Raw genomic sequence first — 16,619 nt, 5'->3', positions numbered from 1 at the left:
TCCCTGGAGAGCCATTACCTCCCCTAGGGCTAATGGGACTGTAAGGAGAGAGGTCACCGGACCCCACAGAGAGCTAGAGGAGACGACTGAGGGGTAGTGAGCTTCACACAGGAATGTAGCCCCTGCCGACTTGTGGCCTTGAGAGCTCGAGCATCCGTACCTCAACCATTCTGTCCTCCTGCCCCAACTTCCTCTGTGCCTCCATGGGCCAATGGGAAGCCAGAGGGTAACAGAGCCCATGTGGGGCTGTTCGTAGAGGTCAGTGTTCTGGGGTTCAGAACATGGTGGGGAGGAGGGCAGGGAGTCTGAAGGGTCAGACACAGAATGTCAAAAACATCCTTATATGTGGTTTCATCTAGTGCTCTTAAACCAGACTCACTAACCTACTGTGTTTTAAAATACAGCTTGCCAAAGTCTGTGTTAATATTATTTAACTTTGATGTGTATCTGTGATGGTTAGTTTTGTGTGTCAACTTGACTGAGCCATGGGATACTCCTAACAGGTTGAATGTTATTTCTGGGTGTATCTGTGAAGGTGTTTCTGGAAGAGATCAGGATCTGAGTTGGTGGACTGATTAAAGCAGATGGCTCTCCTCAATGTGGCTGGGCCTCATCCAGTCCATCCAGGGTCAGAATAGAAGAAAAACGGAGAGGAAGGGAGGACTTTTTCTCTTTGCCTGATTGAGCTGGAATATTGATCTTCTGCCCTCTGTGCTTCTGGTTCTCAGGCCTTTAGACCTGGGCTGCAATCTATACCATCGGCCCTCCAGCTCTTAGGCCTTTGACTTTCATCAGCTTTCCTGGGTCTCCAGCTTGCAGAGAGCAGATCATGGGGCTTCTCAGCCTCCACAATCACATGAACCAGTACCTGATAATAAATTGGTTCTGGTTTTTCCAGAGAACCCTGATTAATATACTATCTGTGCATTCACTTAGGAGAAACAAAGTCATTAAATGTGAAAAAAAAAAAAGAACTGAGTCACTCAGAAGAATCATACTATAGTTGCCCATCATATATTATAAAGAACAAAGTATTCTAAATTATTTACGAATAAGAATTCTATAAAGAAAATGACTGATTATCTGCGCTTACACAAAATATTTCATGGAAATTTTATTACCGTGCTCTTTTTTTTTTTTAATTTAACCATCATTATGTTGTGCATTCATCATCTGGAGTTTTTAGTTGTTTAGAATTCCCTGTTGGCAGCCAAATTCCTGTCTGGGAAAATGTATGAGCCAGCCTTCATTTTCCACGATGACTTTCCAAGGAACCATTACAATTAAGAGAATGTAAGTTACTCATCTCCAATAACTGTACATGAAGCAATATTCCGAGGATTTGTTAACTGTCTTTGACAGGAGATCATCTACTCACAGTAGGTGCTTAACAAATGCCATCTTGAATGAATGAAGACCCTTTCTCACAGTAACAAAGTTGGGTCCAGGCTCCTTCATTTTTGCTCAGCAAGATGAAGCTAAGGAAACAGGAAATAAGTCATCAACCAAATCATAGTAACAAATCGTTCTATTCCATTCTCCATAATTCACCCTTCAGTCCAGGGGAACACTAACAATTGCCCCTCCAGATACAAAGAAATTGCCTCCTCTGAAGACAGCTGCCTCACCTAAGGCCACATTTCCTTCCAGGTTGCCCCACTTCCAATGAGTCACTGATTGGCAATCCATAAAGGTCAGCTCTCTTGCCTCAACTCAGCATACCTCTGACAGATCGTCCCATCTTCCCGTCTCCCTTGAGGTTTGACTGGGGTTGCTGCTGACCCAGTGATATAGGAGTTAAGAAGAAAGTACTTAGGCAGATAGTGAAGGTATGGGAGTCCTCAGTAAGGTCTTCCTTTTAATGAAAAGCAGCCCCCAAATCATTTTCTTTTCTAACAAAAAGCAACCTGGAAAATCGAGCTGCAGACACAGACAAGCAAGCTGAAAGCTTGCACAGGCAAATACCGGCAGTTGTGCCAATAAAAATATACTACCTGGGGCCGGCGCTGTGGCTCACGCCTGTAATCCCAGCTACTCAGGAGGCTGAGGCAGGAGAATCGCCTGAACTTAGGAGGCGGAGGCTGTGGTGAGCCAAGATGGCGCCATTGCACTCCAGCCTGGGCAACAAGAGCGAAACTCCGACTCAAAAAGCGACAACAGCAGCAACAACAACAACAAAAAACACTACCTGGGATTAGGCATGTTCTAAATGGCAGCTCCATCTTCTCTTTTTGCCACCCATGTTTACAGAAACGAGTGGACAAGACGGCCCCTGCCAAGTGGGAAGCCTATTTGCATAACAAGATTAGGGTGGGGTGACCAGCCTTCCCTGCGCGCTACGTAAACGTCACCCCTGGTCGAACCAATCTCTGGGCTCCACGTAAATCAGACACCGCCTCCTCAAGCCTGCCCGTAAAACCTGCTGCCGTCAGTCACGGGCCAGCCTTTCCCTTAAGGATGTCTGAGAGCTGGTCTCCTCACTCTTTTCTTCCGCCTATTAAACTTTCCGCTTCTTAACTCACCCATGTGTGTCCATGTCGTTAATCATCTTGACGAGAGATGATGAACCCCGGATATTTACCCCAGACAGTGATGCCGCTTCACCAGCATTGCACTCTACTTCCCCGCTTCCTGATCCTGCCTCAGCTTCTCCTCTCCACAGGTATTGATCCCAAGAACAACCCGTAAGAAATGTCCTGCACGCTAATCTCCATCTCAGAGTCAGCTTCCCAGGGAATCCAGCAATTACGAAGCATTCAGCTTAATTTTGTTGATTGCTTTATGATTTTGTGTGTGTGTGTGTGTTTTAATGTTGAAATGTAACATATATTCAAAAGTGTGGATAAAGTCTCCATGACGATTAGTTTCCTGTGTCATCATGGGGGCCAGGCTTTAGTGCCTTTTTTTTTTTTTTTTTTTTTTTTTTTTTGTGGTGAGACAGAGTTTTGCTCTTGTCACCCAGACTGGAATGCAGTGGCGCGATCTCGGTTCACTACAACCTCCTGGGTTCAAGTGATTCTCCTGCTTCAGCCTCCCAAGTAGCTGGGATTACAGGTGCCCGCCACCAAGCCAGGCTAATTTTTGTATTTTTAGTACGGATGGGGTTTCACCATGTTGGCCAGGCTGGTCTTGAACTCCTGACCTCAAGTGATCTTCCTGCCTCGGCCTCCCAAAGTGCTGGGATTACAGGCGTGAGCCACTGCACCCGGCCTTTACTGCCCATTTATTTAATCAAACACTAATCTAGGTAGTGCTGCAAAGGTATTTTGTAGATGTAGTTAACATCTACAATCAGTTGGCTTTACATAAATCTTACTTTTCATACTGTGAATGGGCCTTATACAATCAGAAGCCTTAAGAGCAAAAACTGAATTTTCCTAGAGAAGAAAAAATTCTGCCTAAAGTCTGCAACATCGTTTCCTGCCTGAGTTTCAGCCTGCCAGCTTCTCCTACGGATTCTGGACTTGCCAGCCCCACAATCATGTAAGCCAATATGCTAAAATAAATTTCTTAATATAATTCTTAATGTATATATCCTTTTGATTCTGTTTTTCTGGAGAAATCTGGCTTATACAGGCTCTTAACATGATTGTTTATCTGTCAATTTTTATTTTATGGCTATGTTATTAGGTATAAACAAATTTACGATTATTTCATATTAAACCTGAAACGTTGATTATTCTGAAACGAGCCAGTCTTTGCTTTGGTTTTGTAACTTTTGCTTTGCATAGTAGTTTTACCATCCCTTACTTACTTTCAACCTGTCGATATCTTTATATTTAAAGTAAGCAGCTTGTTTAGCTTTGCTTGATATTATTACCTTCTCTGATGAGCTTTATATTTCAATTTCAATATTTAGTCTGTTTATATTTACTGTAATTCAAGGTTAAATCTACCATCTTACCATTGATTCCTATTTTCTCTGTTCTATGATTTTTTTTGTCCTTCCTTAAAGTTTTTGGGCTTATTTAAATTTTTCTAATTACATTTCTTCTTCTATTAGCTTGTTATTTATATGTTTTTTTAAAAAATTGGTGTTTTCTCTAATTGGTGCAACATGCATTCTTGACTTACTAAAGTGCTATCGGTGTGTGTTTTAAAGGCGCTACTGTAAATGTGTATACAAGTAATTTTTATCTAGATTTACCACATAGACATTCTTATGACTGCTCTTTGTTACTTCCTGAATTTCCATGCTTTGCTCTACTACATGTTATTTACCATAATAAATGCATAACATTTATTACCTATAGCTCTAAAGGCAAACAGGCAGTGCGGTTCCAGTTTTATAGATAAGGAAACCAAAGCTCAGGGAAATATAGTGAGAAAGAGTATAGCTTGATAGCTAAAAGCATAAACTCTGGAATCCAATTGAATATTCCGCTTACTGGCCGGGCAGGGTGGCTCACACCTGTAATCTCAGCACTTTGGGAGGCCGAGGCGGGCGGATCACGAGGTCAGGAAATCCAGATCATCCTGGCTAACACGGTGAAATCCCATCTCTACTAAAAATACAAAAAATTAGCCGGGAGTGGTGGCAGGTGCCTGTAGTTCCAGCTACTGGGGAGGCTGAGGCAGGAGAATGGCGTGAACCCGGGAGGCAGATCTTGCAGTGAGCCGAGATCGGGCCACTGCACCCCAGCCTGGGCAACAGAGCGAGACACCGTCTCAAAAAAAAAAACAAAAAAGAATATTCCGCTTACTGATCTTATCATTTTGAGAAAGTTATTTCATGCTGTAAGCTTCTCTTTATCTATAAAATATCAAATAATAAGAATAAGAACAACACTTACCTCATTCTGGTTGTGAGGGTGAATTAAGAAACGTTGAATGTTTCATGAGACGTCTGGCGCATTGTAAGAACAAGCCACAAGTTCATGTTGGTTATGATGATACCCAGCAGTGCCGTAATACGCACGTCATCCACTGTTGCTGCCCAGCCCACTGTGCTCCTCTAAGGGAAACGCTGCCTTCTAAAGCATGTTGAAGGAGGGAGAAATAAGCAATCATTGAGAAAGTGGTGGCACCACTTTGGCCAGGGATGAGATCTGACCCAAGGGCAGCCAGAATATCAGGCAGCCTGTGTCCTTCAAAGTGGCCTGGCTTCTACAACAAATCTCTGCTCTAAAGGGATTATGGTGACTATCTAAGACCATCAACTCTCTCCCATTAGCATCTGAACAGAGAAAGACTGGAAGAATGGGCTGGTTGGTAGCTATGGGAGAAATATCAGAACATATAAAGGGAAAGGGAACAGTACCCTGAGAGCAGTGGCTGGAACACAGCTGGCACTGTATTCTTGCAACAAATCCTGACTACTGGGTAAGCCAACAAGACTGAAAGGGCTTGCCCAGCACATCTTCCCAGAGTTGTACAGTTGTTAAGTGGTGGAGATGATACTTACTCTCAATAGTTCAGACCCTGAAGACATGGTTTTTCTGCTCTGCCATTCAGCCTTCCCATTGATTATCTAGGTTGTCTAGAAAATTATCTAGACAACTATCTAGACTGAGATATGGGACAGAGATATGCATAAAGTGCATTTATGTTGCCTAAACTTTGTAAATGGCATGAAATAAAAGCTAAATGGACTATTAGGAAATCAGGTTTTTGTTGTTGTTGCTGTTTAGGAAAAACATTTGAATGGAAAGCATAACAGGATTGACGAGTCTAATTTTAATTTTTAGACCTAAGTCACTAATATCCTTATTGAAATATGGATTCATCTAGATTGAATTTAATTTTACTATTTTGCATATAATTACAGAGTCTTGGAAACTGTGGGGGAAAGTGTGCCCAGTCAATCTCTGCTGTCTATAAATAAGAAACCAGTAACATTTAATTCAGAGAAAGTAAATGTTGGCTCATAAAGGAGCAGAATATTCCTCCTCTGTAAAATAAGGATAATAATAGTGACTGTTAACATTCACTGGACCATCTCACTCCCATTCCCATCCAGAACTCAGGCCTCCCTGAATTCCAAAGCAATGCCCTGGTGATAGAGAAAGTTCTCCAGATTGGAGTTTTGGGAAATGTTATAAATGACTTAATGTATCAATGCACAATGAAAGTAGAACTATGGTATCTTAAGTCTCATTCCAAGAAGAAATCATCCTAGAGGGTGATGACACAGTCACCCAATGTATAGTATAATTCCTTTTCTAATCCTGTTCCAATACAAGCCTGGAAACTTAGACCCCAAGGTTATAAACAATGGCTGTTACTGGGAAAAACTGAAAGCTGACTTTTGAAATATAAAAGGTTTTCTTTCATGTTGTCATATCAATTTTCTGTTCTATTTTGTATTACCTTTATACTTGTAAAACCCTCTTTTCACTGTGAGATACACAAATATTCTGCTGCATATTCTTCTAAGATTTTTATGGTGGCTTATTTTTGACATTTAAATATTTAATCCACCTGGTATTTCTTTGGGGGTAATGTGTCAGAATACATGTCTGGGTTTACTTCATTATATTAATGTAGGTATTCTTTTCCCAGAGTTTCTGTTTCATTTCATTGTTCCAATAATCTATTCTTGTGCCAAAACCACATATTTTGTCTATATTAGTGTTATGTTTCTATATATAACAGGGCAAATCTCACTGGTTAATCTTTTCTGTTTTGCATTTAAAAAATTTTTTCTGAGCTCTACTTATAAATTCATTCTTCTAGATGAATCTTAGTTTTACTTGAACACATTTAATAATAAATCTCAGTGGAAGTTTAAGTGCAATTGTGTTAATCCTATAAATGAATTTGGAAAAAATCGACATTTTTCCAATGTCATTTTTGCTACTACTACCATGACTACTACTACCATTACTGTAGTCTAGCTACCTGTAGCCTCCCAAGTAAACAGACTACAGGCACATGCCTCTATGCGTGCCTATTTTTTTTTTTTTTTTGTAAAAATGTGATCTTGCAATGATGCCCAGGCTAGTCTCCAACTCCTGGCCTCAAACGATCCTCCTGCCTCAGCCTCCCAAAGTTCTGAGATTACCAGCATGAGCCACTGTGCCCAGTTTTCTTAATGTAGTTATAAGTTTTTTGTTTTTATTTTTTACTAGCCTTTATATTGTTTGCAAAATTATATATAAAGCTATGTAGGCACTTAATAGTTTGTGTTGCTATTGTAAGTGGAAAATTATCTTCATTAAATATTATGAATAGTTTTATCCTAGTTTTCAGAACAACCGTTAAATTTTATACATTCATTTTGTGTTTAGCCACTTAATTTTTAAATTGGGGAGTGATTTTCTTGGCAGAGAACCATCATATTTTGTAAATGTTAACCAAAAAAGGTAAACTTTTTCTCTTTCCTAATGTTGCATATCTTAATATGTTGGCTAAAATTTCTAGAACATTCAATGATAATGATGGTAGCAATCCTCTGGTTATTTGGTTCTTGGTTTCAGTGAGAACATGTAAATATTTCATTCCTGGGTATGGCTTTGGCTATTAATTTAATATAGAGATTCTGTCTCATATTGAGAAATAATACTTATGTTCTTGGTTATGCTGCCTGCTTCTCCTCGCCTCTGATAATAATGACTAAACTAATAGTAGTAATAGTAATGATGGCAGTAGTAATAGTAGCAATGATAGTAGTAGTAATGGTGGTGGTGGTAGTAGTAGTAACGGTAGGAGTAAATAGTAGCAGTAGTAGTAATGACAGCAGTAGTAGTAATGGTGGTGGTAGTAGTAGTAATGATAGTAGTAATGGTGGTGGTAATAGTAATGATAGTAGTAGTAGTAATGGTGATACTACTAGTAGTAGTAATGGTAGGAGTAGGAGTAGTAATTATAGAAGCAGTAGTAGTAATGATAGCATTAGTAGTAGTAATGGTGGAGGTGGTAGTAGTAGTAATGATAGTCGTGGTAATGGTAATAGTAGTGGTAATGATAGTATTAGTAGTGATGGTAGTGATGATAGTGGTGGTAGTACTAATGGTAGTGGTAATAGTAGTGACAATAGTAGTTATGTTATTAGTAGTAGTAATGGTAGTAGTTTTGATAGTAGTGGCAGCAGTAGTGATAGCAGCTAGCATTTACTAAGCACTCATTAATACTTCACAAACATTTAATATAAATAGTCATCTTAATATCTATAATGTAGCACTGTTATTAATCCTAATTACACATAAAATGCAGAGGCTTAAAGACATCAACTTTCCAATGAGTGCTAGAGCTCAGCTTCAACCCTTGGTCTGCAAGAGTCTAGAGTGTGGAACACTAATTTTTGGTTACACAAAGAGCTGTGGTCCTCATGCTCCATGTGCCCTCTCTCACAGGGATAGCCTACTCATGTTGGCTCTGCCTGTGCCCCAGGATGATCACCCATGCAGACAGCAGCCCCCAGGCTCCCTTGCTGGCTGCCCTCTGATTGTGTTTGGCCAGCAAGGATCACTGGCATGCTATTGAGGGTGAGGAGAGAGAAGTAAAGGTACTTCATCCTCTCCATCTGTCACAGGTGTGATAGGCTGGGGCTGGTGTTACAGGCAGTAAAGGAATTTACCAAGACAGTTGTGGGTTAAGAAAGTCAGATTTGTTAGAGAAAGTACAAAGATACAAGAGAGCAACAGGCAGCACAGCAGAGAAGTTTGATAAGGTTATGCTGGAGAGGCTATGTACAGATAGGGTCATGCTGCTGGGGCTACCTGTGGAACAAGGTATTTGGGAACAGGATGTTGTGCAAGTAGGTTGTTTGTGGTTAGGTGTTTCTCAGAAAAATGGCTTGTCAGCCATCTCTTAGAACAGTGGCTCTCCCCAATCCTCATTCCTGTTCCTGCCAGCTAGAGCCCTTTTCTTGTATCTATTAACTTACCAGGACTCCATGTTCCCCGCTGACAGAACAACAATGACAAATCTTTGGCATTGGTATGGAGGTCTTATCTTCCAACTGCTTCCTGCTGACTGTGGGCACAGTGTGGGCCCTACCTGTGATTATTGGTCTGTTAGGGGACCCTGTGGGTTATTGTCCTGAGTTATGGGACTTAGTCTATTAAATGCTGCTGGAGGATAGAACTCAGGAAGAAAGAGCGTGTTAATATGGAATTGATATCTAGTGAGTCTAGAGGAGATTCATGGGGTTTTCTGAGGGTGATTGGCTGATATCCTTGCATCATTAGGAGTTTGCTGTGGAATTGCTACATTCTGGAAGAAACAAATTTAACCAGTAAATTAAAGAGACAAAGGACTGAAGAGGAGAAGTAGAAGTATAAATGCAGCTGTCCTAGTAAAGGAAGGAACCATGTAAGGGAGAGGAGAGCAAACTTAGAAAGAGTTACACAACCTCAGATATAAGGAATCTCAAGCCGTTTAGAAGAATTATGACCAAAGAGGTCAACCTATAAAATACTACTGGGGGCAGAGGTCCCATTTGGAAGCCAGTAGGATTCCTGATCTGGAAGTTTATAAAGTGGCCATGCTGTATTACACAAGAAAATTCGATGTTTCCTTTTGAGAGTCTGGGAGTCAAGTTTATCCCAATGTTTTAGAATGCAGCCCATCGGTGAGTCTGAGAGAATGGAAGGGCTTTGTCCCATGGGGGGATTGGAAAATAATGTCTACTGGGGACACAAACCACAATTTCTCTTGGGGCCTCCAGCCAAGGAAAGGGGGTTCCACTTATGTCCACTGAGGAGCCTTGAGAGGCACTTTCCAAAGGGGCATCCCACCTATTAGAAAGGACCTCCCAGCATGAGAGCCTTACACTGGATGGATGAACACAGGGTGAGCAGCCCCAGGTCAGTCCACGTATGAATTATACTGGGTGCTGAATCCAGGTATAAGGGGCAAAGGTTGAGGGAAGGCTCACTGTTCTGGTGCTATTTGGGATCATGTTGCTTAAAATGTCCAGAAAAGGATGGCTGGCTTTCTTCACAGGAGAAATTTAGAGTGAGAAGGACGGGGTCTGAGTTCCCCAAAATGTGTGTGCGTTTGCCCTGGTCAAGCTGCCGCTGCCTATTGTGCTGCATGTAGGGACTGGGGACTTTTGACCAGAAGGGTTAGGAGAGAGCCATCCTCCCTTCCAAGCAAGGCAGCCAAACCTGGTTCACTCCTTGGCCTTTAGGCCACACCAGGGAATGGCCCTGGCCAGTGGCCATCAGCTGCTAGAGGGATACTAGAGTTTGTCCACCAGAAGACGGGAAAGGAAAGTAAACTCTAAACTCTCACTCGATCGGGCAGTGACGGTCAAACTTCTTTCCACTGGGACCTTCTGATCCACCAGGGAGTAGCTGCAGTGGGGGGCCATCAGATGTCTCCAGGCTTGGATGCTGTCCACTAAGAGGTTGGAGTTGGAGAAGAGAAAAAACAGTGAACAGGGGAGAGGTCTCCATATGGACCACCAAAATGCTGCTGGTGTGACTGGCTGGGTCCAGCATTGCAGGCAGTGAAAGAATTTACCAAGACAGTCATGGATAAAGAAAGGCAGATTTATTGTAGAAAGTACGAAGATACACTGCAAGAGAACAATGAGGTGCACAGCAGAGAGGAGGTTGTCTCGAAGAGTCAGGGGCTGGAGGGAAGTTTTATAGGCTTGTGCTGGAGAGGGTACGTGCTGATAAGGTCATGCTGCTGGGTCTATGTGCAAAACAAGGTATTTGGGAACAGGGTGTTGTGCAAGTGGGTTGTTGTTGGTTAACCAGTTCTCAGAACGATGGCTTGTCAGCCATTTCTTAGAATGATGGCTCTCCCCCATCCTTGCTCCTGTTCCTGCCAGTTAGGGCTCCTTTTTTTTTTTTTCGTTTTGAGACGGAGTCTTGCTCTCACTGCCCAGGCTGGAGGGCAGTGGCGCGATCTCGACCCACTGCAAGCTCCGCCTCCCGGGTTCACGCCATTCTCCTGCCTCAGCCTCCCGAGTAGCTGGGACTACAGGTGCCTGCCACCACGCCTGGCTATTTTTTTTTTTTTTGTATTTTTAGTAGAGACGGGGTTTCACCGTGTTAGCCAGGATGGTCTCGATCTCCTGACCTCATGATCCGCTAGCCTCAGCCTCCCATAGTGCTGGGATTACAGGCGTGAGCCACCGCGCCCAGCCCCCTTTCTTATATCTATCAACTTATGAGGACTACATGCTCTTCTTGCCTAGGTATGAAACCTATAGTAGTAGTGGAGTTCACAATAATAGCTTCTTCACCATAGCCTCCACACTGGGTCCCAGCACTAGCTCCTCCCTTTTTTCCTTTTGACCTGGGTGATGACAGCTTATCATGGTTGCAAGCATTATCCCTTATATATTTCCTTAACCTTACCAAGCCCATTGTAAGTTGTCTTTTCCTTACAGTTTCTATTAAAAATCCTTGTGGGGACCATGACTGATTCAGAGCATCTATTTGTTTTTAATTAAAAATATATCTTGTAAAATGCTGAGAAGGTAAAATAGGAGAATATTTCAATGACCTTGAATTTGGCAATGACTTCTTAAATCCAAAAGCACAATCCATAAAAAAATTGATAAGTTGGACTTTGTTAAAATTTCAAACTTCTGTTCTGTAAATGACACTGTTCAGAGAATGAAAAAATAAGCCATAGACTGGGAGGATTTTGTGAAACACATGTCAGATGCAGGCTAGTATTTAAGATATACAAAGAACTCTTAAAACTCAATAGTAAGAAACAAACAGTCCAATTAAAAAATAGGCAAAAGATCTCAACAGATACCTTACCAAAGAAGATATACAGATGGAAAATAAGCTTGTGGAAAGATGCTCAACATCATTAGAGACTTTCAAATTAAAACGAGATATTACTACACACCCATTAGAATGACCAAAATCCCAAACATAAACACCACCAAATGCTGATGAGAATGTTGTGCAGCAGATCCTCTTACTCATTGCTAGTGGGAATGCAAAATGGTATGGCCACTTGGAAAGTGATTTTGGCAGTTTCTTACAAAATTAGGCATACTCCTACTCAGTAGTAACACTCCCTCATATTTACCCATATGAATTAGAAACTTACATACAGAAAAAAAAACCTGGACATGAATGTTTACAGCAGCTTTCCTCTTAACTACCGACATTTAGAAGCAACCCAGATGTGTTTTAATAGGTGACTGGACAAATAAACTATGGTACATCCACATCCATACAATGGAATACTATTTAGTAATGAAAAGAAATGAGTTGTCAAGCCACAAAAAGACATGGAGGAGCCTTAAACACATGTTGTTAAGTGAAAGAAGCCAATCTGAAAAGGCTACATATTGTATGATTCCTACTCTATGACGTTTTGGAAAAGGCAAAACTTTGGAGACAGTAAAAAGATGAGTGGTTGCTGGGGACTGGAGGACAGGGAGAGATGAATAGGTAGTACAAGGGGGATTTTTAAGGCAGTGAAACTATTATTACATAAGATACTTTAGTGGTGGGTACTCATCACTATACACTTGTCAAAATCCCTAGAATGTACAATACCAAGAGTGAAACCTAAAGTAACCTATTGATTTTAGTTAATAATAGTGTATCAATATTGGCTCATCAATTATAATAAATGTGCCACATCAATGCAAGATATTGATAATAGAGGAAACTGTGGTAGGGAGAGGGAGTATATGGGAACTTTGTATTTTCTACTCAATATATCTGTAAAGCTAAAACTACTCTAAAACATAAAGCTTATTAATTTTTAAATGTATCTTAATTATTAATGTGTTTTCAGCATGGGTAGAAATAATTGTGTAGTTTTCCCTTTGAACTGTAGCTATATCAATTCAACTGATAGATTGCCTAGTGTGAAGTAAGTCTGCATACCTAGAATAATTCTACTTAAAATGGTATGGCCTTATTTTTATTTAGCATTGAAATTGATTTGTTAGAATTTCCTTTAGAATTTTTGCACCTATATTCATAAGTGAGAGTGTCGCATGTGCTATTTTTTTAGTTGCATGGTTGTAGTGCTTTCTCAAGCTTGGTAACAAGTTAATTTAATGTCAAAAATAAATTGAGATTCAAATATAGCCAATTATTATGCATATGTACTCTATTATATATAGCATAAAGTAATTTTATGTGATACAACCTAATCTTGTAAAATCTTGTAGTAAATTTTAAAATTTCTGAATAATCCTTTTAGTAATATGCATAGTAATAGGCCTATTCAGATATTCTACTTCTTAAGTAAAATATTATAATTTATATTTGGCCAGAAATTATACTTTTCATTAAAACTATCAAATTTATTTATGGAAGGCATATTTTTGCAGTTTCTCTTATTTTTGTAGTTTCCTTTGAATCTGTAGTCATGTCATTTTTTCACTCTCACATTTGTGCTTTTTAATTTGAATCAAATTTATTTAATTAAAATAATAAACATTGAAAGTAAATACACGTCTTTTGTTGGGTTTTTATTATTAAAATAACCACCTTTAAGATTTATTAATTTATCAATTTAACTGTTTTCCCTTTTTTTGATAATTTAATTTCAGCATTTATTTTTGGTAACCCAATCTCCTGTGAATCTTAGATTTTATTATTTTCTTAATTTCTTATGATGAATAAGTAGTTTTAAAATTTTTAAATATTTATTATTTAATAAGGCTATTTAAGGATATGAATTTGCTTCAGAAAAGAAACTTGAGCTCATCTGCTAAGTTTTAGCAGTTTAACTGTAATGTACCTTAGTATGATTTTCTTTTTTCTTAAACCCTACTTGGGGTTTGCTGAGCTACTTAGGGTTTCTTGAATTTTTGAATTGATGTATTAATATTTTATCCATTTTGGCAAATGCTTTGCCATTATATCTTCAGTTGTTGCTTTTGGCCCATTGTCTCTCTCCCGCTTCCCCTCTTAGTTCTATTACACATATGCAGTTTTCCTAAGACTCATCCATCTTTGGTCCTTCCCTGTTTCTCAAGGAAGACCCTTCAAGGATTTGGGCTGAGAGACTAGTGGGTCACTCTCCCTCAAACATGGAAGACTGTGGCAAATCCACTATCTAGATTTGAGCTTGGATCTTTAGCTCCCATATCCTGCAGCTTTAAATGTGGCAAACATCTTGGAGGACTAGTTGGTAGGCCCAGTCCCTCTGGGGAAATACAGTCTCTCAAGCACTTGGAGAATAAAGCAGATTTTACTCTGTCTTTTAGGAACCCTTAGCCTAGCTCTCGAGTCCTCCATGTTCATCTCCAGCACACAGAGAATTTCTTGGGGAAAACACCTATTAAGTCTGTGCTTCTCAAGTTATATAATCTTTTGCGCCCATACCAGCCCTGAGTGACCAACAAAAACATCTCCGGTTTCTCTCCCTGGTGTGGGCCAAATCTGATCATGAGGCCTTACTAAACATTAGCAAAATTCCTACTGTTCTAGATTTGAGCTTGGATCTTTAGCTCCCATATCCTGCAGCTTTAAATGTGGCAAACATCTTGGAGGACTAGTTGGTAGGCCCAGTCCCTCTGGGGAAATACAGTCTCTCAAGCACTTGGAGAATAAAGCAGATTTTACTCTGTCTTTTAGGAACCCTTAGCCTAGCTCTCGAGTCCTCCATGTTCATCTCCAGCACACAGAGAATTTCTTGGGGAAAACACCTATTAAGTCTGTGCTTCTCAAGTTATATAATCTTTTGCGCCCATACCAGCCCTGAGTGACCAACAAAAACATCTCCGGTTTCTCTCCCTGGTGTGGGCCAAATCTGATCATGAGGCCTTACTAAACATTAGCAAAATTCCTACTGTTCTAGAAGTCTCCTCCTGTGAAATTCCAGTTCATCTAATTATTGTTTCTACAACTGTATGGCGACTTGAAACAAGATTTTGGTCATTTGTCTGGCTTTTTGTCCAGTAATTGTGTTGGGAACATTGGGCAATCACAACATCTACATTCCACTTGGAAGTTGAAGTCATAGTACAAGTTGTTTTTTTTTTTTTTTTTTTTTTTTTTTTTTTTGAGAGGGAGTCTCACTCTGTAGCCCAGGCTGGACTGCAGTGGCGCAATCTTGGCTCACTGCAAGCTCCGCCTCCTGGGTTCATGTCATTCTCCTGCCTTAGCCTCCTGAGTAGCTGGGACTACAGGCGCCTGCCACAACGCCTGGCTATTTTTTATTTTTTTTTTTGTATTTTTAGTAGAGATGGTGTTTCACCGTGTTAGCCAAGATGGTCTCGATCTTCTGACCTCGTGATCCGCCCGCCTTGGCCTCCCAAAGTGCTAGGATTACAGGTGTGAGCCACTGCGCCCGGCCAACAAGTTGTTTTTTTTTTTTTAAACAGCTCTATTGAGAAATAATTCATATGTGACACAATCCACCCATTTAAAGTATATGATTCAATGACTTTTAGTATATTCACAGAGTTCTGCAATTACAACAATCAATTTTAGAACATTTTCATGACAATACAAATAAACCTTGCACCCCTTAAAAATCACCCTCAATTGCTCCAGCCCCTGTAGCCCAAGGCAAGCATTAATCTACTTCATTTTATATAAATTCCTTTATTTTGGAAATTTAATATAAACAGAATCATACCATATGGGGTTCTTTGTGACTGGCTTCTTTCACTTAGCTTCATGTCTTCAAGATTTGTCTCAGCTGTAGCACATGTCAGCACTTCATTTCTTTTTTTTTTTTTTTTATCACGGAAGCATGTTTCATTATAAGAATATACCACATTTTTAAATCCATTCATCAGTTCATGAATATTTGGGTAGTTTCCACTTTTTGGCTATTATGAACAATGCTACTATGGCCATTTGTATACAAGGTTTCGTGTGGATGTATGTTTTCATTTCTCTTGGTATATACCTGGGAGTGGAATTGCCACCCTGTTTTCCAAAGTGGCTGCACCATTTTACATTCATAGCAGCAGTGTATGAGGATTCCAGTTTCTCCATCCGTATTCTTGCCAACACCTGTTTTTATCCATCTTTTTTGTTATAGGCATCGTCACAGGTGTGAAGTGGTATCTCATTGTGGATTTGATTTCGATTTTGCAGATGGCTGATGATGTCAAGCAATCCTTGATGTGCTTATTGGCCATTTGTATATCTCCTTAAAAGAACTGTCTATTCAAATCCTTTGCTAATTTTTAAAAGTGAGTTATTTACCCTTCTATTATTGAGTTGTAATAATTCTTTACATATTCTAGGTACGAGTCCCTTGTAACAGTGGTCGCCAACATTTTTGACACCAGAGACCAGTTTCATGAAAGATATTTTTCACAAAATTGGAACAGGGGGTGGGAAGCGCAGGGGGAGGGGCACGGTTTAGGGATGAAACCGTTGCACCTCAGATCATCAAACATTGGGGTCTCATAAAGAGTGTGCAACCTTGATTCCTCATGATATGGTTTGGCTGTGCCCCCACCCAAAATCTCATCTGGAATTATAATTCACATAATCTCTGTAATCCCCATGTGTCAAGGGTAAGACCCGGTGGAGGTAATTGGATCATGGGGGTGGTTTCCCCCAAGCTGTTCTTGTGATAGTAAGTGAGTTCTCATGAGATCTGATGGTTTTATAAGTGTCTGGCATTTCCCCTGCTTGCACTCACTCCATCCTGCTGCCCTGTGAAGAAGGTGCCTGCTTCTCCTTTGCCTTCCACCATGATTGTAAGTTTCCTGAGACCTCCCCAGCCATTGATTGTAAGTTTCCTGAGACCTCCCCAGCCATGCCGAA

At 40.3% G+C, this 16,619-nt stretch overlaps 2 long non-coding RNA genes across 6 annotated transcripts in view; one reads left to right on the top strand and one right to left on the bottom strand.

Annotated features, from left to right (window-relative positions):
- The window catches only part of DSCR8 (Down syndrome critical region 8), a 35,061-nt gene extending 32,722 nt beyond the window's left edge, over positions 1–2,339 (bottom strand). For 3 of the 5 annotated variants that reach the window (NR_026840.1, NR_026841.1, NR_026842.1), the window contains exons 1-2: positions 2,189–2,339; positions 1,379–1,478 (exon numbers count right to left, since the gene is read on the bottom strand). This is a non-coding gene — a long non-coding RNA (Down syndrome critical region 8). Of the gene's footprint in view, positions 1–1,121; positions 1,479–2,188 lie in introns of all 5 variants that reach the window. The other 2 variants (NR_026838.1, NR_026839.1) reach the window with 1 other exon arrangement.
- A 90-nt stretch (positions 2,340–2,429) lies between these two features.
- The window catches only part of DSCR4 (Down syndrome critical region 4), a 67,350-nt gene continuing 53,160 nt past the window's right edge, over positions 2,430–16,619 (top strand). The window contains exons 1-2 of the long non-coding RNA NR_147130.1: positions 2,430–2,662; positions 3,382–3,483. This is a non-coding gene — a long non-coding RNA (Down syndrome critical region 4). The remainder of the gene's footprint in view (positions 2,663–3,381; positions 3,484–16,619) is intronic.

This window comes from Homo sapiens, chromosome 21, assembly GCF_000001405.40.
Source record: "Homo sapiens chromosome 21, GRCh38.p14 Primary Assembly".
Classification (NCBI taxonomy): domain Eukaryota; kingdom Metazoa; phylum Chordata; class Mammalia; order Primates; family Hominidae; genus Homo; species Homo sapiens.
This window is presented reverse-complemented; position numbering and strand designations above follow the sequence as displayed.